The sequence below is a fragment of the Homo sapiens genome, chromosome 5, assembly GCF_000001405.40.
Source record: "Homo sapiens chromosome 5, GRCh38.p14 Primary Assembly".
NCBI classification, from domain to species: domain Eukaryota; kingdom Metazoa; phylum Chordata; class Mammalia; order Primates; family Hominidae; genus Homo; species Homo sapiens.
The window spans coordinates 109,820,103-109,845,602 of NC_000005.10; the positions used below are offsets into that span (position 1 = coordinate 109,820,103).

A 25,500-nucleotide genomic window follows, 5' to 3' on the forward strand; every position below is an offset into this window, starting at 1 on the left:
GGTCCACCAGATAAGTACAGAAATTATTTTTTTAAATTGTCATATACATAGAACCAGATGCAACATGCTTAACATCTTAGTGGTGAGTTGCTTATTATTATTTTTTTTAATCTTTAGCAAATGATGACTAAAGAAGATGGTAAACACCATGAAGTAAATGTGCAATTTTCATGGTATGGAACCACAATTAAAAGAGACAAAAGTGGTGCCTACCTCTTCTTACCTGATGGTAATGCCAAGGTAAGTGGTACTGATGAGATGACAAATGGAATAAACACTTATTGAAAGAGTATTGAGGAAAAAGATAAGTGAGTGTCATTATTTTATCATCTGTTGATTTATTAGGGATAGATGAACTTTTGGTTGCAGTATTATCTATCACCTTATTGATACTTAGCAATTTGTAGTCGAAAGTTAGATAAATGGTTGGGCGCAGTGGCTCACACCTGTAATCCCAGCATTTTGGGAGGCCAAGGAGGGTAGATTGCTTGAGCTCAGGAGTTCAAGACCAGCCTGGGCAACATGGCAAAACCCCTTTTCTACAAAAAATACAAAAATTAGGCATGGTGGCCTGCACCTACAGTCCCAGTTACTCAGGAAGGCTGAGGTGGGAGGATGGCTTGAGCCCGGAAGGCAGTTGCAGTGAGCCAAGATCACGCCACTGCACTCCAGCCTGGGTTGACGGAGCAAGACCCCGTTAGATAAATAGTTTTTTAGAGTTGGAATTTGTTAAGATGCTACAATGAACAATGTTCAGTTAGGATAAACAATGAACATGGGAAGAAACTAGATTTTACGTAGAGTTAGGGAGCTTTATATGTATGCATTTTATACAGACACAAAACCTCTAGCCGTATGGGAAAAATAGATTTTCCACTGGACCATTTTTCTCCTTAACTTTCAGCCCTTTAAAAAACAAATCTTTCTCACTCTTGACTATAAAGGTAGTAATACGCAAACTCTGGCACATTTTGAAAATGCCAGAAACTAAAGAAAACATTAAAATTTACCAACAGGTGCACAATCCCATGAAAACCATTGCCAACATTTGGATGTATTTCTTATTGTCTTTTATTTTATGCATATCCTTTTCTCCCCGTTCTCAAGTCTTGACTTATTGCATGTACATATTTTGTTTTTCATTTGTGACAGTGCTCACAATCTGATGGTATGTTTTTTAAAAATCCAATTTTAATATATACTGTTGTGTTTAAGATGTTGCTTATATTCTTTTTCTCCCGATTCTTCACTACCATAACATTGTAATAAGCTTTCTTTGTAGCATTCAAAAAGAATGCTACAATGCAATTCTGATTAATTGCTGAGAATAACTTTCTAGAAGAGTCATTTTGTATCAGTGTCTGAAGTCTTTTAAGGACTTTTGCTGTGTACTGCTTATCTTCCCTCTAGAAAGACTAGGTAAATGTTCAATCCCACCAGCATTTTTTGAGATTAACTCTAAAATCCCACTCCAAGCACTGAGAATTGGCCATATTACAAGCTTTGCCTATAATAGTAAGTTAGTAGAAAAATATTTTTCTGTTAAGATTTTTGTGGTTACTAGTAAGGTTGAACGTTTTTGTACCTTCATTTATCTTTCATATTTCTTTTGTGATTTTCCTATTTCTATTCTTTGACTGTTTTTCTGTTGGTGTGTCCTGATGATCTCTGAGCACTCTATATGTGGTAAAATTAATCCTTTTCCCTATATGTTGTAAAATTTTTCTTATTGTGTCATTTAGTTTGTTAATTATTTTATTGTATTTCTCATTTATAGTGGTTTTAAATTTTTGTGTAGTCATTTCTTTTTTTTCTGTAGAGTTTCTTCCTTTGCTTTTATACCTTTATAGGTTTTCTATACCTCAAGATCAGTGAAATGTTATCCTAATTATTGTCTTGTTAGCTAGGGACCTATCTCCTGAAAAAGTTACTTTTGTTCCACAAGTTATGAAACCTGCTAACTAAAATCCAATACTGGATTTTAAGGGATTGTGTAGGCTACAGTAAGGACTCTAGGTTTTTTGTTTGTTTTTGTTTTTGGTTTTTTTTTTGGCTGTTTGGGGTTTTTCTTTTTTTTTTTTTTTAAGTCAGTGAAGAATTAAAGACAAACTACAACTCATATGAGGCATTCCAGGATGGGCAGTGAGTCCCAAATATGAGCTGTTTCAGTGTTTTCTCATTCACCAGCTTTTGTCATTGGACATTTTATTTTGATTGACTGTATTTATACTTAAAAAAGTAGTTGTGCTATAGAATTTCATGCGTAGATACCAATAACTAATTTATTTAAAACCATTTTATCTTTAAATAGCTCTAATGTCAGATAGAAAGATAAAACAATTGTCATTTTTACAGAGAGAAAATAAAAAACATCAGGGAAAGAGGCAGTCTAGTGCATCAGAAAAAGGCAAGAGCCCAGAACTCATCATCCCAGGTTCTCATCCCCTCCCTCACTTTCTAGCTATTTGGTAATTAGGTACAAGAAATTTGTAAACCATTAAGCATTTTAATAACTCCAGAAAATTTTCCCTAGCCAAAGAGGTAAATTTGGAAGAAAATTACACAATTCTGAAAAAAAAATTTTTTTTTTTTGGAGACGGAGTCTTGCACTTTCACCCAGGCTGGAATGCAGTGGCGCGATCTCAGCTCACTGCAAGCTCCGCCTCCTGGGTTCACGCCATTTTCCTGCCTCAGCCTCCCGAGTAGCTGGGACTACAGGCACCCGCCACCAAGTCTGGCTAATTTTTTGTCTTTTTAGTAGAGACGGGGTTTCACCATGTTAGCCAGGATGGTCTCGATCTCCTGACCTTGTGATCCGCCCACCTCGGCCTCCCAAAGTGCTAGGGTTACAAGGCGTGAGCCACGGCGCCTGGCCGAAAATCTTACACTGTTTAAGTAGTTCATATTGCAAGCCTAACTTTCTATGCTATTGTTGAGCTAAGGTATCTAATACTTTAAAAATATAATTACTCATAAATGTTTTAAATTTGCTTCCATGTCACATAAGTTATGTGCTTTATTACCATTTTTTAAAATTTAAATAAAAACTAAACTAGTGGTTTCCAAGTAGTTTTTTCAAGTTTGTGAATTTATATTCAGCTAGTTCTTTCAAGTAAAAGGACAGAATGTTTTATAGTTTAGTAAACCGAGCTATGATTAAACTATGTTTCTGAATCCTGCTTTCAGTTTGCTTAGATGACTCCCTGTAGTCATCCTTGCCACCTGTCCCAAACCCTGAACATTAGGGGGCTGGGACCATGGTTATAATAATTATTTACCTGGGAAAATGTAACTTCTGTAGAATGATTGCTGTTTCTAATAAGTAACTATATGGACAAATAGAAGGATTTTAGTTAGAAATTTGTATAGCTGGGAGGAATGCTTTCTAGACCAGTGAAGTTGTAAACATTTTTATTTCCTATTTTCAGCATTTTTAAAAATAAAAAACACGTTCAGTTTTTATCACATGCATATTTTGTTACCTTGTAAGATCTGGTTTACACTTAAAATTGCAAATATCAGGTGATACGTATTTTCTATTTTTGAAACCATAATAAACATATTCTTTTAAAAGTTTGGAAGCCAAAATATTTTTCTTAAATATATTATTTTCTTTTCAGCCTTATGTTTACACAACACCGCCCTTTGTCAGAGTGACACATGGAAGGATTTATTCGGAAGTGACTTGCTTTTTTGACCATGTTACTCATAGAGTCCGACTATACCACATACAGGGTAAGAAAATAGGAATGCAGTTATGAAACATATGTATTATGGTTTTTGAATTCTTGCTTTTCTTATGCCATTCTTAAATTAACAGTTGGTTTTTGTAGATGATGTTTTTCTAAACTTGACATTTTTAATATGATTTAAAATATGAAACTTACCCTTTGATAATAAAAAATGGTAAAACGTTTCAATCCCTACATATACATGTTCCTCTGTATATCTTCTCTTAATTGTTGCCATATTGGTCTTGAGCTCATTAACTGGTAACTTTATTTTTAACACCTGAAAACAATACAGTGTTTTGATTTTATGAAATGGAAATTATATTAAATACGACTTTCAGTTAATAGACCACACACATATATGGGGCCTGCTTCCTTAAATATAGCCTGTATCACTGGAATGTAACTTTAAGAGAAAAATGTTCTAAGCTGGTTCTATTTGTTTACAGCTCTTTACCCAGTAGAGTATAAAACCTAGCAATTGTTTATCATTTTTAGAACAGTATTGAGCAGCATCTTTATGAACCCAAGTGATAGGAAATAGGCTTTTGATCCTTTTGAGAACTTAACCCTGGGCAATGGAACTGATTCCATGGGGTCTGAGTGGAGCTGTGGTTTCCAAAGACTTGCACATTTAGGTTGGTTGATTTAGAATTCATTGTTTGTAGAATGGTGTGCTTTTCCAACTACAGATTTAATCCTAATAACCAGGGTATTTACCATATTATCAACACTCTTAGAAAAAGACCTCATAAAAATGCCATTTAAATTTATCTTTGCTGTTAGCTAAGTTGAACAAATTAGAAAAGAAAAAATACTATTTCCCTGAATCTTCATACAGGTAAAAAATAAAGGATTTCACAAACTAAAGATAAATGTATAGGTAGGCACGGTTTCCTTTTTAGGTATTGTGGGAAAGCAAAGGGATACTATGTTCAGGGAATCTCTTAAATCACAGAAGTTCAATTTTCTGATTTCATAGTTAAATTTAATTTTGCTTTTATTTAACTTTTTTATTAACTTCAAATTTCATTAGTATTTGCTTTTTGTTAGAATTTCAGGTATGGACAAACTTTCTCATGCAACTTCTTTAGGTAATAATATGATAGGTTTTTCAGAATAACCCATGATTCATAGGATGAATCAAGAAGTAAAAGTTCTCTGGCAGGTGGGAAAAATAATGCTAGACACTAATTTTGTGTCCTAAATGTGACTTCTGAAGTTATCTGTGATCACTTTGCTACCTACAGGAAAACCTGTAGTTCTGAAATAATCTTCTATTGAGTTTCTCAAAACTTCTGGTAAGTCAGAAACTGTTTTTGATCATCTGTTTGTACTCTTGTGTAAGCCATTATTTAATACCCCTGAGAGCTCTAAGTTACATCTTCAACTTTATAGCATTACCCCACAGAAGATATGCTGATCTATTTTTAAGTTTGCTTTAAACTATTGTTTTTTAGTGGAAAAGTTTTTCCTGGAGTACAACATGGCACACACTTTGGCACAAACTTGTGTCATCAGGTTTGATTTACCATTGTTTTTCATCAGTTATATTTAGAGATGGGCTATGTCTCAGAGGAAATGCTGTAGCAACTCTTCCTAAAATTCCAACTTCTCAATCAGGTATATTTGCATAATTGCTTTTGCTTTTATTTAATTATGTCACTGTATCTTCTGGGTTTTCCTTGGATTATCCAGGACCTCTAGTTCTCACATCATAGGGCAGTTTGTGTAGACTAGATGGCCCTGTTCTGCTGCTAGTGGCTGTAGCTTAGTGCTTGACTTGGAAATTAATAGGCTCTGACTTGCCTATTTACTTATTTGAGCAAACTACACTCATCAGAACTAAATGCTTGTCATTTTTCCTTTCCCCCTCTCTTCCTGTTTCCCTCTGGGCAGTGAACTGTCCAGTGGCTAATAGTGTTAAGCAGGAGCCCGGGCCACTGAGGTTTGACTGGCTCCTGGCCTTCCAAAGGGGCTCTCAATGTAGCCCATTTCTATTTGCTGGTCTTGCCTCTGCCTCTTTTCTCTTTTTTATTCTTTAGTTTTCTTTCTTTCTTTCCTTCCTTTTTTTTTTTTTTTTTTTTTTTTTTGACAGAGTCTCGCTCTATCGCCCAGGCTGGAGTGCAGTGGAGCGATCTCGGCTCACTGCAGCCTCTGCCCCACTGGTTCAAGGATTCTCCTGCCTCAGCTTCCTAGGTAGCTGGGACTACAGGTGTACACCACCACGCCTGGCTAATTTTTCTATTTTTAGTAGGGATGGGGTTTCGCCATGTTGGTCAGGCTGGTCTCGAACTCTTGACCTCAGGTAATCCACCCGCCTTGTCTTCCCAAAGTGCTGGTATTATAGGCATGAGCCACTGCACCTGGCTTGATTTTCTTTTTTCATGTGTTTCCTTTCTAGATTATTTGTCTTCTCTTCCTTGGTGTTCTCGGGCATATGAAAAAAATAATAAATGATGGATAAATAAGTGTAATGCAAACTTAGAGCGCCTCACTGATGAGTTTTACAGTAGTTGCCTGGATTAAATGAGAAGCCGTCATATATAAACTGGACGTAACCTGTAAATCTTTTTTCATTCTAGTCCGGATCATTTTTTTTTTCAACATGAAAGCAGTTGGTAGGAAATAGAGATACCAGAATCACCTGAAATGCTTTCTTCCAAACTATATACCTTCCCGTGTTTGTATTTGAGCTCCTCTTAACAAATCTCCCTCTGGGAAAAGATAAGCCCGGTTGTGGAGAGAGTCTTTCCTTAGTAATCTTCATGACTCACCTGTCTCTCCTGTTTTTCACATACCATTGCCTGAACACTCGGGTTGTCTCAATCCTGGCTGATTGTGGTTTTAATGAAATCACTAATCAAGGCCCATGATAGATATACGAAGTCTTCAGGGTATTTGGCTCTATCAGCGTTCACGCTGCCTGAAAGGGTGATCAGTCTTCAGGGATCTGTTATTTAGTGCCAAGTCTTCCTTATTAAGAAATACTGGAAAGTTGTTTAACATTCTAAACTTTGGCCTCCTGTAAATCAGACACCTGGATGATTGATCAAAATGCATAGACAAAATGTGGCTTTTCATTTTAGATGCAAAGGAAACGTCAGCCAACTTCCATGCTGTTGTAGATTGGCTTTTAGCTAGTATTGCATAAAATAACAAAAAATATTTATTCTTGAATTTAATTTACTAAACTAGTTTTGGATATATGCTACTTTTGTCCCCCTTAAACCAACCAGATGCAGTTATTTGCATGAGTATTAATGAATAGAGCCTATTTGTTGTTAGTACCAGATTTTCAATCCAGGAAGAAATGAGGGTTTGGGGAGAGAGACTATTAATGTTTTATGATTACATACTGTAATTGTATTAGGTTACTAAACCAGTTAATTATACAAAAGATTTTGTAATCTCAGCAACAAGGAATAAAGAAACAGAAAATGAGTTAGTATTAAAGATTGTCTTTGTTGGGTGTCTATTTTTGTTAAACCTTACAAATCCAATTTAAAAACTAAACTAACGCATACCTGACAAAATATTCTTACATTTCTCAGTCTCTACTTTAGTTGTTCTTTGACCCTTTTCTCCCCAAAGTAACTATTGCCCAAATTAAGCTTCAGGAGAAAACAAAATCAAGAACGACAAGCAACATTTCCAAAATTATATAAACTTTTTGGTCCTTAATGATTTTGAAACAGAGTTGAGAGGCCGTATAGTTCAACCTACTTTTGTTTTTGGTTTGGTATTTAACTTTTGTTTCTCTATCTGCATTCTCTCCAGATTCTGAAAATGATCAGAAGTGCAGTTGAAGGGCTCTCTCTTTCTTAACATCTTTTAAACTAATAAAAGAACACTCTGTTTTCCTTTTCATTATCGTTCAGACATCGCATTCAAAAGGTTTCTAAAAATACTAAATTAGAAGAAATCTTGTGCTCACTAGCCTTAAAAGCTCTACAAGATCAGAGCAGTTCAGAATTTCTAATGAAGGCGTGGCACGGTGGCTCACACCTGTAATTCCAGCACTTTGGGAGGCCAAGGCAGGCGGATCACAAGGTCAGGAGATCAAGACCATCCTGGCTAACAAGGTGAAAGAAACCCCGTCTCTACTAAAAATACAAAAAGTTAGCTGGGTTTGGTGGCACGTGCCTGTAATCCCAGCTATTCGGGAGACTGAGGCAGGAGAATCGCTTCAACGCAGGAGGCGGAGGTTGCAATGAGCCGAAATAGCGCCACTGTACTCCAACCTGGGCAACAGAGCGAGACTCTGTCTCAAAAAAAAAAAAAAGAAAAAAAGAAAAAAAATTTCTAATGAAATATATTGTTTTGCCCATGTCAGGTTTAATAAATCCATTTTATAGCACCCATAATTTAATGAAATGCAATTTATTTCATTTGTAGAAAATAACACTCTTCTGGGGGAAAAGTTGAGGGAGGTGGGAATTAATTTTTCTTGCAGTATAATCATCTTTCATTTAATTGAAGCTTTAAACATTACCATATAGGCTGCTACTTTAGCTTTTTTGGTTAATCTGTAATTAGAAGATAGAATATAATACAAACAGAAGCTCCTGTATCCTCTTGTGTTTTATTTAATACTGCACCTACAAGGAAAGTACATACCTTGCAATAATATAATACCAATAAGTGACATTGTTAACTGTGGCCTTATTTGTCTTCAGAGCTGTAATTATTGGACTTTAGTGTCCTAGTTTCTGATATCAACAGCTACTTTGAAGAATTAGGTCACTGTGGGTAACGAGTATGTCGTGTACATTTCATTGGCGCAAGGACTGTGTTCTCCTAGGCAGGTGTTTGTTAGCGAGTTAGTATGTATGTGTGTGTAAACCATGTTTTAACCCTTAGGGGAAACATCTTAAATGCAATACTTCTGCCCTGTTTTCCACCAACATATTATAAAGTATTATATGTAATGGATCTTACTCAAAGAAAACAAGCAGCCTGGAGGTAAAATGTAATGAACTGACATCAAAAAGTATGGAAGGAAAGACTTTCCTTTGACTGAAATGACTGATTTTCTTGCATATTTAGCAATCGAACAGAGTTGCTTAGTTTTTCTCTGAGCAATTTTGAATATATAAACATAAGTGGATTTATAACCTGACTCTTGGCTTTTAGAGAATCAAAATGAGCTTCATCTAGTTAAACATATTAGGGGACTTCAAAAAGTTTGTGGACAAATGGAATTAAAAGATAAAAATTAAAAATATAAACTATTTCTCAACATAAGCTTCATCAAGTTCATGACGCTTTTGTAAGCAATGAATCCAGCTACTCAGTCCATCCCTAAGGAACAGAGGGTCCTGGAAATTTAACCATGTCATTTCAGTCTACTTATATTATTAAGTAAAATGAGTGCCCATTAAATATTTTTTTAAGATTAGGAAACAAAAAGAAGTCAGGAGGAGCCAAATTAGCACTGTAAGTGACTGCCTAATGATTTTCCATTCAAACTGTCACAAAATTGCCCTTGTTTAATGAGAGGAATGAGCAGGAGCATTATGGTGGAGAAGAACTCTGATGAAACTTTCCTGGGTGTTTTTCTGCTAAGGCTTTGGCTAATGTTCTCAAAACATTCTCATAACAAGCAGATATTACTGTTCTTTGGGCCTCCAGAAAGTCAACACACCAAATGCCTTGAGCATCCCAAAAAGCTGTTGCCATGACTTTTACTCTTGGCCAGTCTTCTTTTGCTTTGATTGGACCATTTCCACCTCTTGGTAGCCATTGTTTTGATTGTACTTTGTCTTCAGAATCATACTGGTAAAGCTGTATTCCATCTCCTGTTACAATTCTTCAAAGAAATGTTTCAGGATCTTGATCCCACTTATTTAAAATTTCCATTGAAAGCCCTGCTCTTGTCTGCAGCTGATCTGGACGCAATGGTTTTGGCACCCATTGAGTGGAAAGTTTCCTCAACTTTAATTTTTCAGTCAGAATTGTATAAGCTGCTAATTGTTAGTTCTCTTCAGTTAGAGCAGGAGCAAACTTAATTTTTTTCTTGAAAATTGGTGTAGTCTTCGTCTTCTACATTGTCCCATCCCTTCTTAAAACAATTTATCTGTTTTGTAAAGTGCTGATTTTCTTGGACCATTGTCTCCATAAACTTTTCATAAAGCATCAGTGATTTCACCATACTTCCACCTAAGCTTCACCATAAATTTGATGTTTGTTCTTGTTTAAATTTTAGCATAATTTATATTGCTCTGATAGGGGCTCTTATCAAATCCAAGTCTCACCCTTCTTAGTGCTCAAACTAGATCCTGTTCAGACATGTTACAATAAGTAAGTATGAGTTTATTTTGATGAAATCCATGCATAGTTTTTTCATGATATGCATTTTCCATGAAACTTTTGAAGACCCCTCTTATAAGGGAATCACATTGGGATTTGGAGATCCAAATCCTTAGTTTTGCCTCTAAGCAAACTAGAGGAGTATGGGTTTGTCCTTTAATTTCTTAGGGACTCAGTTTCTTAATCTATAAAAAAGGTAGATGTTCAATTAGGTATAACTGTCAAAGAGTCTTCATACAACTTAGTTTCACATAAAATCTCTTGTGCCTGACTCCCTGCTTCTAAATTCATCTTCTACACTTGGTCTTAGCCAAAAGGCCAAGAAGTGATTAAATTCATCTTCTAAGAATGCCTGAATCTGGGGCTTCCATCCCTGGAGTCTGCCCCACTTGTAAACAAGGTCTCAGAGCTTCACTGAAGTTCTTTTTATTTTCATAAAAAGATTCATGAAGACATTAAGATGGTTTGCAATCAATCTCTCATTTTTTTCCATAGCTATATTCCATATTTAGTTTGATTTAAAAGTAAAAAGCATTAAGTAAGTTATAGCTAGGCAGGCTTAGGTAATTAAAACATTTTTGGAATATCATAATATGCAATTGACTGCTAAGGATTTTTTTCCCTGTTAATTGGAACTTTTAAAAATTGAAATAAGTAGCTATGTGACGAATCTGATCATTCCCTACAGGCATGAAAGAGAAGGTTATTTTAAGGGACTGCAAGCACATTCTGGTTACACAGATTCAGAACTCAGAGGTTATCTTTGGGGCTGTTTGAGAGCAGCTGATTGTTGAAGCCATAACTCCTTAGCAAAGAAGCATCATCCCCTACAAAGGTGGGTTGCACTGAACTCAGGTGAAGGGCACAGGGATGGGGGAAACACAGGAGATATGTAATGGCTCAGAGTTGAGACTCCAGAGCCAGTTCTCTTGTGTTTTATTCCCAGGCCCATCCTAGGTCTGCCACTTAGCAGCTGTTTGACCTTGCACAGGTTACTGCCAACCTGGCTTTGGTTTTATCATCCTGAAATGTTGACAGTAGTAAAATCAGCTTCAGAGGATGTTTGGAGTATTCACCGAGTAAATATACAAGGAACCTTACCCATAGTGAGTGTTGTATCTACTTACAAGAGTGAGTGAGCCAGATGGGTTAGATAGTTTACTATTATAAGACAAAGCATGGTCATTAAGGATTGGGGGAATTGGGGAGGATTTAATGAAGGAAGTGAGTCACTGAGAGGCTAGGTCTTAGAGAATGTCACATGAAAGGCAGAAAGGAGGAAAAGAATATCACAATGTGTGAAATAAGGTTGTTTAGAACCCCACTATAAGGATTTGAAGAACTCTTTGTCCCTTATATATTTTTTAATTGACTTGAAGTTTTTCTTTATACATTTAAATAATTGCAAAGGATGTTATTTTGGTGTATTGTACATGGTGACTTTTAAAAATAAGCATATCCAATGGGCAGTGGTACTAAATCATGTGTTTTTTAAAAGCCTGCACTAGCTTTTTCTTTAACTGTCGGAAACTTCACATCATTATTTTCTCCTTATAATTACATTCTATTTCTCCACAGAATGTTATCTTAATGTAGTATTTTTGTGGTTCAGAGCCTTGTTATTGGTCAGTCTTTCATTACTTCTCTAAAACAAAAATCATGTGTGTGTGTGTGTGTGTGTGTGTGTATTTATGTATACAGTTTTAAAAGTCTGTTATAAGGCTCTAAGTATTTTATTTCTTCTGGATTGAGATATAAAAATTATTATTTGTATGCAGTTGGTCAAAAAACATAAATATGTTCCTATTTTAATAATTTTATTTTATAAATTTTAATGAAAACATTTTTCTCAGTGGGTTGTACCTTTTTAATTCCTAATGGATAATGTATCCATTGATGAATGTCACTCATTGCTAGAATGATATATGATTTTATTCTTAATTTTTATTTATATAAATATCAGTGCAAAGGAAAGTTGTTCACATAAATAAGTAGCTGGTAATGGAAGGAGTTTTCTTTTTTTTTTTTTTTTTTTTTTTTTAGTATTTATTGATCATTCTTGGGTGTTTCTCGGAGAGGGGGATTTGGCAGGGTCATAGGACAATAGTGGAGGGAAGGTCAGCAGATAAACATGTGAACAAGGGTCTCTGGTTTTCCTAGGCAGAGGACCCTGCTGCCTTCTGCAGTTTTTGTGTCCCTGGGTACTTGAGATTAGGGAGTGGTGATGACTCTTAACGAGCATGCTGCCTTCAAGCATCTGTTTAACAAACCACATCCTGCACCGCCCTTAATCCATTTAACCCTGAGTGGACACAGCACATGTTTCAGAGAGCAAGGGGTTGGGGGTAAGGCCATAGATTAACAGCATCCCAAGGCAGAAGAATTTTTCTTAGTACAGCACAAAATGGAGTCTCCCATGTCTACTTCTTTCTACACAGACACAGCAACAATCTGATTTCTCTTTCCTTTCCCCACACGTCCCCCCCTTCCACTCGACAAAACCGCCATCGTCATCATGGCCCGTTCTCAATGAGCTGCTAGGTACACCTCCCAGACAGGGTGGCGGCCGGGCAGAGGGGCCCCCCCACTTCCCTCCCGGATGGGGCGGCTGGCCGGGCCGGGGCTGCCCCCCACCTCCCTCCCGGACGGGGCGGCTGGCTGGGTGGGGGCTGTCCCCCACCTCCTGGAGGGGGCGGCTGCCGGGCGGAGGGGCTCCTCACTTCCCAGACGGGGCGGCTGCCGGGCGGAGGGGCTCCTCACTTCTCAGATGGGGCGGCAGGGCAGAGACGCTCCTCACCTCCCAGACGGGGTGGCGGTCGGGCACAGACACTCCTCAGTTCCCAGATGGGGTCACGGCCGGGCAGAGGCGCTCCTCACATCCCAGATGGGGCGGCAGGGCAGAGGCGCTCCCCACATCTCAGACGATGGGTGGCGGGGCAGAGGCGCTCCCCATATCTCAGACGATGGGTGGCCGGGCAGAGACGCTCCTCACTTCCCAGAGGGGATGGCGGCTGGGAAGAGACGCTCCTCACTTCCCAGACTGGGCGGCCGGGCAGAGGGGCTCCTCACATCCCAGACGATGGGCGGCCAGGCAGAGACGCTCCTCGCTTCCCAGACAGGGTGGCGGCCGGGCAGAGGCTGCAATCTCGGCACTTTGGGAGGCCAAGGCAGGCGGCTGGGAGGTGGAGGTTGTAGCGAGCCGAGATCACGCCACTGCACTCCAGCCTGGGCAACATTGAGCACTGAGTGAGCGAGACTCCATCTGCAATCCCGGCACCTCAGGAGGCCGAGGCTAGCAGATCACTCGTGGTTAGGAGCTGGAGACCAGCCCGGCCAACACGGCAAAACCCCGTCTCCACCAAAAAAATCCGAAAACCAGTCAGGCGTGGAGGCGTGCGCCTGCAATCCCAGGCACTCGGCAGGCTGAAGCAGGAGAATCAGGCATGGAGGTTGCAGTGAGCCGAGATGGCAGCACTACAGTCCGGCCTCTGCTCGGCATCAGAGGGAGACGGTGGAGAGAGAGGGAGAGGGAGAGGGAGACTGTGGGGAGGGGGAGGGGGAGGGGGAGAGGGATTGAAGGAGTTTTCTTATAGGAATATCATTCAGTACTTTGAACTCCTGAGTTAGATGCCATAAGCCACAGACTGATCTATCGTCAAACATTAATTTTAATCAATTATTTTTAAAGATCTACTGCCTGACAACCTGATTAGGTATGCTTTCAATTTTGGTGAAAGCAAGCAATTGGAAACCATGTGTTTTGCAGAAATATTTGTTGCTTAGTCATTAAAGTCCAGTCAGACACCAATATGTTGAACTGTTTTTGTTCAGTACCCACTAAAGAAGGTGAGAGATATGCTGCTGCTTGTTTTATTTTTTTTATAAGTTGGGAGAAGAAATAGAGTGGTGGAAAAGAAACATCTGTCATGGAGGCAGGTCATTATGAGGAATCTTTTCCTGCCTAAAGGTGCCTTAGAAAGGAGCATGTTTGGGAAAACAGGAAGTAGGTAAGTTCAGAGTAACTGCCAGTGCCACAGATGTGCAGATCAAATATCATGATTAGTTCAGCCAACTTCTCTCCTCTGTCCTAGACCAGCCCAAGCCTGGGACACGGGGAAGGCACCAAAAAACTCCGGTGTTGTGAGGTATTTTATTCACCTCGTAGGGGAGTGTTTTAGTTAGACCTTATTTATTTTATCTATTTTGAGGTTAAAACTGATGTCGGTATTATGATCCCTCCAAAACAGAGCTTCCAAAAAATTCTGTTGTTTCATAACATTAGTACTTTAAAAAAAAAACCAAAAAGCCTTTCAGTTTTGTTTTATGTTTTTCATTTATTATGTCTTCTTCAAGTATATCATAGTTTATTGGTATAATCTTTACCCAACATTTGCAATTCATATGATCAAAATGCCATACCTTTCCTATTACAGATTTAGTTTTTGACATTTTCATGAGAATTATTGAAATGAAAGGCATAAAGTAGGTACACTAGTGCCTAACTCATAAGTTATTGGTAAGTAATAGTAGCTGTTTATCTAGTAGTGTTTTATGAATGGCACAAAGCAGTATATCATCATTTTCTTAAATTTGTGACTTGGAATGAAATTTACTAAAATTTGTATTCATGAAAGCAGATGTTAACATTTTCACTTGTGGAGAAATAATCAATATGAACATTTACAGACCCAGAAATCGGCAGTGACTCAGACGATAAATTAGATCTTATAATGAATGGTAAATTGAGTGAGTCAACATGGAAAAAAAGATCATCCAGTAGTGGGAATTATTACCATTTTTATTTTGGTACTTTCAGATATAAGTACAGTTTTTTTTTTAAATATGGTCACGATAATATTTTCTTTTTAGAAACATTTAGATGTTGACTTACTCAGTTTGTCATTGTTGTGAGAATTTCATATAAGCATACTTATCGAATTAAGCAGTATATGTTAATTAATAACCATAAGCTTGAGCTTTAAGCTAAGTTGGATAAAGTTTACAAAAACATCACTAAAGTAAGTGCATAATAGCAAAGGTATTTTTATATTTTTGATGATTAAAATACAAAACAAAATGTTTCCCATATTGAAGAGGGAATATTCAAAATCAGAAGCCCTAGTTTTTTCTGATAGCTATTATTATCCTACTTCTGCAACAAAATGATGATTCTGTCATCCTCTCTGCTCAGACACAGATTGGAGGAAAGGAGATGAGAGCAACAATTAGATAGATAACAAGGTTCCCTTTGCCTGAGAGCCAGTATTTTTAAGACACTCAGACATTTCTTTGAATCTTAGATGGGTGTTTTGGAGATTTATTTTATGTGATTTGATAGCTATGTTAAATTTCAGTTAAACTTTTATTTGCAGACTTAAATATGCCGCTTAGGATTCTCGCCATCACTTGTCTTTTTCCTAGGTGACCGTGGGCCATTTGCTATTGTCCCTCTTGATCTAATGAGTTGTCCTAATCACATTAGGTGCCACTGATAAGATACTGGACTTTGCTGGGATATGAGTGAGGTTCTTTTTTGTCGTTTTTCCCAAGTTGTTGCCTCTCACTCCTATAACTGGTTGAGTGTGGTGAGAGTGGTGTATGGTTTATGAGTATATTCCTTGGAAAAGTATACTTTGCATTTCAAAATAGCTAGAATAAAATGATCTGGAGAGGTGGAGAGGGTTGAGCTAACTCTGAGATTCTGCAATTCAGGGTTGAATTAGGCGGCTTCAGATAAATTGTTGAAGGATCTGAGAGAGTTGGTGGTACAGAGGAAGTAAAAGCCTGGGATTTTCCAAAGGCCGTCATTAGTTGTTGCTCAGAGCTATGACTCCAGGGTTTCCATTTGCATTTTTTGGAGTCCTTACACCCTCATGGATGTTTCTTTTACCTCATATTTCAGGCATGGCGTGTGTCGGGCTTGCCCTCCAGTTTTTCTTTTAATAATAACAATAATAATAATTATTGTTATTATTATTTTTGCGATGGAGTCCCACTCTGTTGCCCCAGGCTGGAGTGCAGTGGCGCGATCTTGGCTTGCTGCAACCTCTGCCTCCTAGGTTCAAGTGATTCTCCTGCCTTAGCCTCTGAAGTAGCTGGGATTACAGGTGCCCACCACCACACCTGGCTAATTTTTGTGGGGTTTTTTTTTAGTAAAGACAGTGTTTCGCTATGTTGGGCAGGCTGGTCTCAAATCCTGACTTCACATGATCCACCCACCTCGGCCTCCCAAAGTACTGGAATTACAGGCATGAGCCACCGCACCGGCATGCCCTCCAGTTTTTCTCTCCCCACACGAGGGAGCACGCTTTTTGGTTTCCTTAGACTGGTGCTAAGCAACAGTTAAAAGGGTGATGCCTTTTGTTTTCTGTTCTCTCTCTCCTGATCCACCCAGTGGGGGAAGGCTCTGAGAAGAGCAACATCATTTTGAGAGTGGTGCTAAAACCCTGTAAGCCTGAGTGTTCTGTCCTCCCAAAGCTGTGATACGGCTCAGCCTCCTGACGGTGACCTACTTGGTTTTATTTCTTCTTGCTGTCTCAGAAAATATTCTAAAGATGCTTAATATTATTTTACAAATACAGGTATAAATAATATATATGTGTACTCTTCTGACTTCACACATTACAGATATAAAGTAAAATTCCTCTGGCATCTGTGTCTGTCTCCATCCACTCTTCAGGAGAGGAATTCAGATATATGTGCAAGCATACGTGCACCACACGGTCTTACAACTGTAGAAAAGTATAGTATTGTGTTTGTGTCGATTTTCAGCATAGTTTATCATGCTATACAAATGCTACATTTAGCTTTTTTCTTCTGATGTTTCTCTGCCAAGAGAGACAGTTACCTCATTCTTCTCATTTGTGACACAGCATTCCATAACATGGGTGTATGTGATTTTATTTATTCATTTCCCTGTTGAAGGGCATCTAGTATGTCTTCCCATTTTTTTGTTCCTAGTGCCAGTATGCAGTGAACATGCTGGTGTGTGCCTCCTGGGCTCACCATTATGTACATCTCAGCTAGGTACAGTGGGGAGGAACTGCTGTGCAATAGAGTATCTGTCTTTAATATTAAATATGTATTACTTTCTTGGCTTCTAAGGTGAGTGTGCCATTTTAAAAGAGAGTTTTGGGTTGTTTTAAAGAGTTTTTGGGGTCTGGAAGCCTCTTGTGCTTTATTTCACTCAAATAGCTCTTGCAGGATATCAGATTTCAGTTCAGTGCCCTCTGCCCTTAAAAACAAAAACAAAATCTGGAGGTCTTCTCTCTACTCGCTTACTACAAGGCCTCTCCCAGCCCTTGGTCCCAGAGTAACTTGAGCCTTCTCCAATAGTTGGTCTGCCAGTGAGACATGATGATGTAGTAGTTTAGTCCTGGTTCTGCCAGTCTTGTCCTTGGGCGAGTGATTTCTTCCTCAGCTTAGGGTCAGGAAGAAAGGAGTCATTATATGTAAAGCTTGTAGTAAACATATGGTACATAGTAAGCATCAATAACTCTTGGCTCCTGTCATTGCGACATAGCTGCCACCCTTCACTCAGCATACGTTTACCACCCTTCACTCAGTATACGTTTATTGTACATGTCTACGTGCTGGGAACATGAAGATAAATAAGACATGGTCTCTAGCCTTAGGGAACTTATATTCTAACATGCATGTAACATATATGTAAAATGAAAGTTCTTATTCTCTCATCTTTCCAGCTACTTAAACTTTATCCATAGCCCAGTTTACTTTCCTCCCATGTCAGCTAACTTCTGCATGATAAAGGACAGGCTTTCATATCTTAGCTATTTCTGTCTAACAGTGATTCAGTACTTACCATGTACCCCAAATGTTGTTAAGAACTGGAATGCAAAGATGGTGTGTAAGACAGTCTGTATCTGTGAGAAGCTAACATTCTGTAGGGAGATTAAAAAAAAAAAAAATCCTAGCTCCGGGTGTGAGACTGGAATCTACAGCATCTATAGAACACTCTGATGTAGTGGGACCTTCTGAAGGACTCTTTTTGGCCTTTTTATTACCACTTTTCACCTGTGAACTGGCTCTGTTCTACCTTGCGTTGCCTATGCAAATAAGGATAAACAAACTCCATTCTCTCTTCCAAGGGGGAGAGAATTAGCAGCAAGAGGGCACATATTTCTCTTTGTTAAAACCTGGGAATGGCATCACTCCTTTCTTTCCCTAGTGACTAATCTTGTAAAGTGTTAAAGAGAAGTCTAAGTCCCCCAGAGGGACTTAGAAAGCCCTGGCCATTCATGCCCAGGTGGAGCCACTTTAGTAAAAAAAATAGCATTTTTGCTGCCATGTGATGCACAGGTAAAACAGACCACTGGATACTGCTGGTTTGCATTCCTGCTTCCTGGGAAGTTCTCCCTTCCATTTCATGAGCCTCTTTGGGAAAGGTACAAACTTAGGGAATTACTGACACAGAATAGGAACAATTGGCAATCCTTTCACTCTTTCACATATACTGATCTTTAAAAAAATAATAAATTATCATTGAGAACTCAGGGATACCTCCTTGCTTTTATGACCATTACAGGTTTTGTTTGGCTTGTTCATAATAAGCATATTAAGTTTAATCTTATTTTAAAAGTCTGTCCTGATACAAACTTTAAATTGATATCTTGCTGAATTGTGAATGGACATAAAGGCTCCTTTTAAAGAGCTTTAAGTGTTTGTTGCCACAACAGGGTCTGAGTATAATACTGAGGTTGAGAAAGATGATTTTCTCAACAGAAATACTTTATTATTGCTAGAGGTAGTGTGAAATTATCATTTTTTCCTTGAAGCATGTTCTTTTATAAATGCTTTCTGGAGATACATGAATTAAAATTAATGATGTTCTCTTTTGTTAAGGCTTTATTTCATTTCATGTATTCTGTTGATCTTTGAGACAATATCTAATCTAGAGAGAAGAAAACATAAAATAGTACTAAAAACCCAATGAATTCTTTTAGTGAATTAGAGTTTACTTCTTGTCATCAGCTAAGCTCCCTAGTATTACGTGAATACTATCATGCTTGGTGCTACATTTTGTGTTTTGGATGTTTTTGGTTCATTTGTAGATGCTTATCTTTTGTTATTAAAATTCCATATACATTTCATTTTGGCTTTACAAAACTATTTTGGTTAATGTAAGCATACTGAAAAGAGGGTTTGCATTTAGAGTGATGCATTTCGTAGGTCAGAGAAGATACTGTTATTTATCATCAGCTATATGTGTGATTTCTTTTTCAACTTCCCAATAGTGGTGGAGATATTTGGGTCATCTATCTTTGCAGGTCCTTGTAATAATTGTCATCAGGAAATGTACATGTGTAGGTAACTGGCAGGGGTTAGTGGTTCAGACTATGGCCATTAAAAAAAAAAAAAGGCATTAGCTGGGTGCAGTGGCACATGCCTGTAGTCCCAGCTACTCAGGAGGCTGAAGTGGGAAGATTGCTTGAGCCCAGGAGTTCGAGGCCAGCCTGAACAACATAGTGAGGCCCTGTCTCTCTCTTTTTTTTTTTTTTTTTTTTAAATAACATTCCGCATTTCCTCACCCATGGAGATGGTACTCATAATAGTTTTATGAATGTAGGAAGAAACTGAAGTTAGCTCCATTCAAGTTGGAAGAGCAGTATATACCGGAAAGAAATTCAGTGAGCATTCTGAAAATTCTGATCCTAGAGGCTTCAGCCCATTTAAGTGTTAATTTATCACTAGATTGTTATTTTTATTTTAGAATTTCCATTGTACTTTTCAGATAAATCTATGGTGCCTACACTAACAGCATTTACATTCTTTTTTTTTTTTTTTAACAGAAATGTCTTAGCCTCTGGAAGGCCATTTTATTCACTAACACATGCTAGGAGGCTTCAGCAATATCCTGCTCCATTCTAGAAAACAGCAATTTGATCCTTTTTTCCTCCTCAGTCATTAACAAGATTATGCATTTGCGGTGAGATGATCCTTCTTGAACAAGTAGCCAGAAATCATTTGTTCCAGTTTCTTCTCAAGGTGCTGAATTAAGTCTCGTCTCATAAATCTTGTGGCTTCCTTGATGATGGATTCAAAAAATCATTTCTTGACTTCTATAGGTCCTTGCAGTCCTTCAAGCAATTTGAAGAGTTTTTCATATTTTCGTCTAAAGTGTTGAATTTCCTTCACTAATTGACATTTTATATCAGCATTAATTTCTTCTTGACATTTTGGAAAAGGGAGTATTTCTGTGACTTTTAGGTCATCTCCAGAGAAATTGCTGGTAATGATTCCTCCTACAGGTGCATTTCTACCAGGTTTCTGCATCAGCCCATCTTTGCTGCAACCACTGAAGTCATCAAACCGAGAATCCAATTGGCTTGGTGGAATACCATCTCCTGCCATAAGCTTCTTTTCCTTGGACATGGCAGAGCCTCCAATAAGGCTGTCTCCTGCTCTTTGTTTCCTTAACAACAGGGCCATCTTCTGCCTTTTCTGAGATGAAGGAGTCTCAGATTCCCTGGGACGTTTAAACACATTTTCAGGTTCTACAGCAACCTTCTCTGCTTTATCAGTCATTGTTTCCAGAAGGACCGATCCAGTATGGCCCAAGGGGGATGGAAGGGAAACTGCCTGCTATGGCGTGCCCTGCCCCAGCCAAATACTGGGAACACTGGGAACCTGTGTGGTGCGCCGGAGTCCTGAGGAGAAGCCTTGTGTTCAGTAGGATCACGGGTGCCAGCCCCGACAATCATGGGGCCTGCATTTACACTCTTTCCCACAAACCTCACAGAGTTAAACTTCCTTTCTTTAACTCTTTGCTGTCACCTTCTGCTAAGCTCTGGGGATTCTACTTGTGTCCTAGGAAAAAGTCTTCCTTACTCCTTTCCTACCTTATGCATTTTTCCTTTTTTCCTTTCTGAACCTCAGAAAGCGTCAGCTTTATTGAATAGAATGATGTCACTCTTTCTTCTTATGACCACTTTCCTAATTGCTCTCTTTAGAAGGTCCTGTAATATCTCTCTCGCACCGTTTTTAAAAAAAATTTCCATAGGTTATTGGGGTACAGGTGGTATTTGGTTACATTAGTAAGTTCTTTAGAGGTGATTTGTGAAATTTTGGTGCACCCATCACCTGAGCAGTATACACTGCACTCTATTTGTAGTCTTTTATCCCTCGCCCCCCTCCAACCCTTCCTCCCAAGTCCCCAAAGTCCATTCTATCATTCTTATGCCTTTGCATCCTCATAGCTTAGCTCCCACATATCAGTGAGAACATACAGTGTTTGGTTTTCCATTCCTGAGTTACTTCACTTAGAATAATAGTCTCCAGTCTCATGGAGGTCGCTGCAAATGCCATTAATTCATTCCTTTTTATCTCATACACCCTTGATCTGTATTAAGTGTGTTGGATTTCCTCTTCTCTATCTATGAAATTGACCCAAGGCCTCACTGAGGACCTGAAGATACAATTAAAGTAGAATGACAGAAACTAGTAAACACTTGAGGCTTATCCAAATGAATGTTTGATATGTTAGGGACTTTTTAAAGCTGTCCTCTGTTTTACATAACAAAGGACAAAATGGATCATTTCATAACAAGGAGTCCTAAGAGATAACTAAACTCAACTAAAATTGATTTAACTTCTGGAGAGCTTTCCAGATTATAGTCCACAAATACTAATATGTTAATATTACTTTCAGCCATAAACCATCTCATTAGATCTCCTGTCTCTTTTCCTAGCAATAATACACTGTCACTTGAACCAGCAGAATGTAAACTTTACTGGCTCATAATTTCTGGTCTATAAGGAGAGAATGGTGAAAAAGTGGGCTAGAATGGCTCTTTGGGGAATGGTGGTGCAGATGAGAAGTGGACTGGCCTGTAGCTGGGCAGCCCTTTTTTCATTTCATGTCCTGTTTCTCCTCTAGAACTCAGAGAATCATTTACATGTTATACATCATCTACATTTTTCTCATCCCAGCTGCTTCATTCTTTAGATGAATAATATGCTCCCCTGAATAAGTGCTATCTACCTTCTGATAGTTTTTAAAAAGAAAAGTTAAATTGTCATAGCATTTATTATATGAGAGATGTTAAGACAAGAAGTAGAAAACAAGAAAATGTAACTTTGGAAAGAGTTCTGTATAGTATATTTCAAAAAGGTGAGGCAAGTAATTTCTTTCTATTAATCCATATATATTTTTTTAAATTTAGGAATAGAAGGACAGTCTGTGGAAGTTTCCAATATTGTGGACATCCGAAAAGTATATAACCGTGAGATTGCAATGAAAATTTCTTCTGATATAAAAAGCCAAAATAGATTTTATACTGACCTAAATGGGTACCAGGTAATTTTTCCTTTAAAATGTTTAAGTAATGGTTGTATTGGTGTGTAATTCTTATATATAACAATGGCCCAGTTAATTTTGGATCCTTTGAAAAAGTATACTTAAAGTTGCAAATTATATCTAAAATAAAACTGAATTTTGACAGAAAATTTCGGGTTCTACAGTTAGAAGAAATATTTGGGAGACCATTTTTTTAGAACATCTTTTTGTAAGGATTTATTTGTTCAAAGGGTAAATTTGGTGACCACTATGAATGTTAAATATCTTGATGCTAAAAAATATATATATGAATTTATCTACCAGAAAGGAAACATAATTAGGGATTGATGGATTATACTTATTGGGTTTTTTTTTTTTTTTTTGAGAAAGAGTCTCGCTCTGTTGCCCAGGCTGGAGTGCAGTGGCATGATCTCAGCTCACTGCAGCCTCTTACTCCCAGGTTCAAGCGACTCTCCTGCCTCAGCCTCCCAAGTAGCTGGCACTACAGGCGCACACCACTACACCCAGCTAATTTTTGTATTTTTAGCAGAGACACGGTTTCACCATGTTGGCCAGGCTGGTCTCGAACTCTTGGACTCAAGTGATCTGCCCACCTCGCCCTTTCAAAGTGCTGGGATTGTGGGCATGAGCCACTGTGCCCGGTCTGTTTTTGTATTAGCCCACTCTCACACTGCTATAGCGAAATACCCAAGACTGGGTAATTTATAAAGGAAAGAGGTTTAATTGACTCACAGTTCTGTATGACTGGAGGGGTAGCCTCAGGAAACTTACAATCGTAGAGGAAGGGGAAGCAGACAAGTCTTACATGGCTGCAGGCAAGAGAGAGAAAAGCCCAGGGGAACTGCCATTTATAAAACCATCAGATCTTGTGAGATCTCCCTCACTGTCAAAAGAACACCATGGGGGGAACCACCCCCATGATCTAGTCTCTGCCCACCAGGTCTCTCTCTCAACACCTGGGGATTACAATTCAAGATGAGATTTGGGTGGGGATACAAAGTCTATATTAGTTGTCCTCATAAGGAATTGATCCATACCTATTAAGTTTGTTCCCTATATATTGGTTTAATGTATGATCTAATAATGGGCCCTTGTAAATTTCAGGAAAACTCTTCCTCTATATGTGTGTGTGTGTATACCATTATACATACACAGACACACATGTATACATATACATAGGTATATCTATTCAGAAATGGGCAGGTATATATTTAATCAAAATTTTCATGAAATGTTTCAAATTGTAGTAAGGAAATTGATTTATACAATCTTATCAGGTTGTCAATTCTCCAATTTAATAGAGCACTTTTGATTGTTACCTAAATCTCTGTTTTCTGAGTGTATGTGTTTGATAACATATCTTTGAAATACCATTAAAACCATGAGCATGTTTTTAAAACAAGTGTTTTAGAAATTTCTGGCTGTGAATAGAAATAATTTTACAATAAACACTTTGATTTTCAACTGGGGGTGGGTGAAAAAGATTTTAATAATTTTCTCTTCTATGATTTCCTGCAAAAGTTAAATTTAAACTTTTTCCAAAACATAAAAATTGCAGCATACATTCTGAATTAGCATGTTAATTCGACTACAGCCATTTGGATTCCAGATAAAATCTCAACTTCATGGTGATTCATTTTTTTATGTACAAAAGAAAGTATTTTCTTAAAATTATACAAAACCAGTTATTTGTATTTTTGGGTGTAGACATGAATGAGAAACTTAGTAAAACCGAATAACTAAAAATGTGAATTTTCTTTTTGAGGATGGAACGTTTGACTAAAAAAGAAAATATTACTTTTAAGTCTGTAATATTTCTGCTTTTAAAATTGACCATTTTTTAAGCTTTGGATATAGTAGTACTTGGGCAAAACTAGGTATCTAGCTCCACCAGTGGGGAATCGGGGTAGCAACAACACGATTGTGGTAGTTTTACATTTTTTAAAATAAGTTTACATTTACAAGTTAATTGGGTTTGGAAAGGAGAAATAGAGAATTCTTTTAAGGTAGCTTTACTTTTTTTTTTTTCTTTAAACATTTTACAGTTGTAGCTTTATCAGTTTATTAATTTCCCAAGGCTGCCATACAAATGGAATCACGTAAAACAACAAAACTTTATTCTTTCACAGTTCTGGAGACTAGATTTCTAACATCAGGGTGTTGGCAGGGCCATATTCCCTCCAAAAGCTATAGGGAAATAACCTTCCTTGCCCTTTCCCAGCTTCTAGTGGTTGCCTATGCTTGGCATTCCTTGGTTTGTGTATGCATCACTCCCATCTCTACCTCTTTTGTCATACAGCGTTCTCCCTATGCCTCTTGTATCTGTCTGTCTGTGTCCAAATTTCTCTCTTCTTGTAAAGATGCCAGTCATTAGGTTAGGTCCCAACATAATCCAGAATGACCTCATCTATTTCTGCAGAGGCTGTATTTCAAAATAAGATCACATTCATGGGTTGTGGGTGGACAGGAATTTGAGAGAGGGAGGCATTATTCAACCTAGTACAACCAGTAATTTGAGGGAGACATTGCAGGGTTGCTGGGAAGATTAAAGATCACATTTGTGAAATACTCCGGACCATGCCTTTCGTTAATGGGCACTTAATACATGTTAACTATTACGGTAACTTTGTACCTCTTCTTTTCTTCACTTTTATATCCAACTTTCATGAGTTTAAATGAGGAGATGACATTTTTATGTGGTATCATTAAGATTCACTGATAATAGGGTTCTGAGCTTAGAGTCAGTCACTGTGACCCAGATGGGCTTTGGGGTTACCGACAGTCTTTCTCAAAAAGTAGAGTCATATTTCAAACATTCAGGTACTAGGCTGCAAGGAATTGGAATTTGGAACTATCTACATTGAAACTAATCAAAAAGAGTAAGCACTGAATGGTTTTTAAATATAAATATGCATTTGATTTTAACATAATATCTTAGAAGATTTGGTGCAGAGACCTGTGGTATTTATTAAAACCAATTCAAGAATAATAAGAGATATTTCTTGAAAGGGGATAGAGAGGTATTATACTTAGCATTCATTACAAAAGCAGTTTGTTAGATTTAGATGAGAAATGAATACTTAATACCTTTATAATTTGTTTTATGCAAATATTGGAGAGCTAGAAGACTTTTAAGCATTT

At 37.9% G+C, this 25,500-nt stretch overlaps 1 protein-coding gene and 1 pseudogene across 4 annotated transcripts in view, besides 2 other annotated features; one reads left to right on the forward strand and one right to left on the reverse strand.

The window, feature by feature from the left end:
• Positions 1-25,500, forward strand: part of MAN2A1 (mannosidase alpha class 2A member 1) — a 179,699-nt gene that overhangs the window by 130,176 nt on the left and 24,023 nt on the right. For 3 of the 4 annotated variants that reach the window (NM_002372.4, XM_017009472.2, XM_024446048.2), the window contains 3 exons: positions 118-240; positions 3,621-3,735; positions 22,226-22,359. In NM_002372.4, coding sequence (NP_002363.2) covers positions 118-240; positions 3,621-3,735; positions 22,226-22,359 — 372 coding nt within the window. Of the gene's footprint in view, positions 1-117; positions 241-3,620; positions 3,736-10,731; positions 10,879-22,225; positions 22,360-25,500 lie in introns of those variants that run through there. The other variant, XM_011543395.4, reaches the window with a different exon arrangement.
• Positions 12,613-12,860: a silencer, noted in NCBI's record as "fragment chr5:109168416-109168663 (GRCh37/hg19 assembly coordinates)". NCBI's record gives its function as "represses an EF-1alpha promoter that drives an FKBP-Casp9 reporter gene in an ReSE screen in HepG2 liver carcinoma cells {active_cell/tissue: HepG2}" and the evidence as "EXISTENCE:reporter gene assay evidence [ECO:0000049][PMID:32094911]".
• Positions 16,226-16,520: a silencer, noted in NCBI's record as "tiled region #1675; HepG2 Repressive non-DNase unmatched - State 15:Elon". NCBI's record gives its function as "represses a minimal TATA promoter and a strong SV40 promoter by Sharpr-MPRA in HepG2 cells {active_cell/tissue: HepG2}" and the evidence as "EXISTENCE:reporter gene assay evidence [ECO:0000049][PMID:27701403]".
• CT45B1P (cancer/testis antigen family 45 member B1, pseudogene) lies at positions 19,847-20,595 on the reverse strand (annotated as a pseudogene).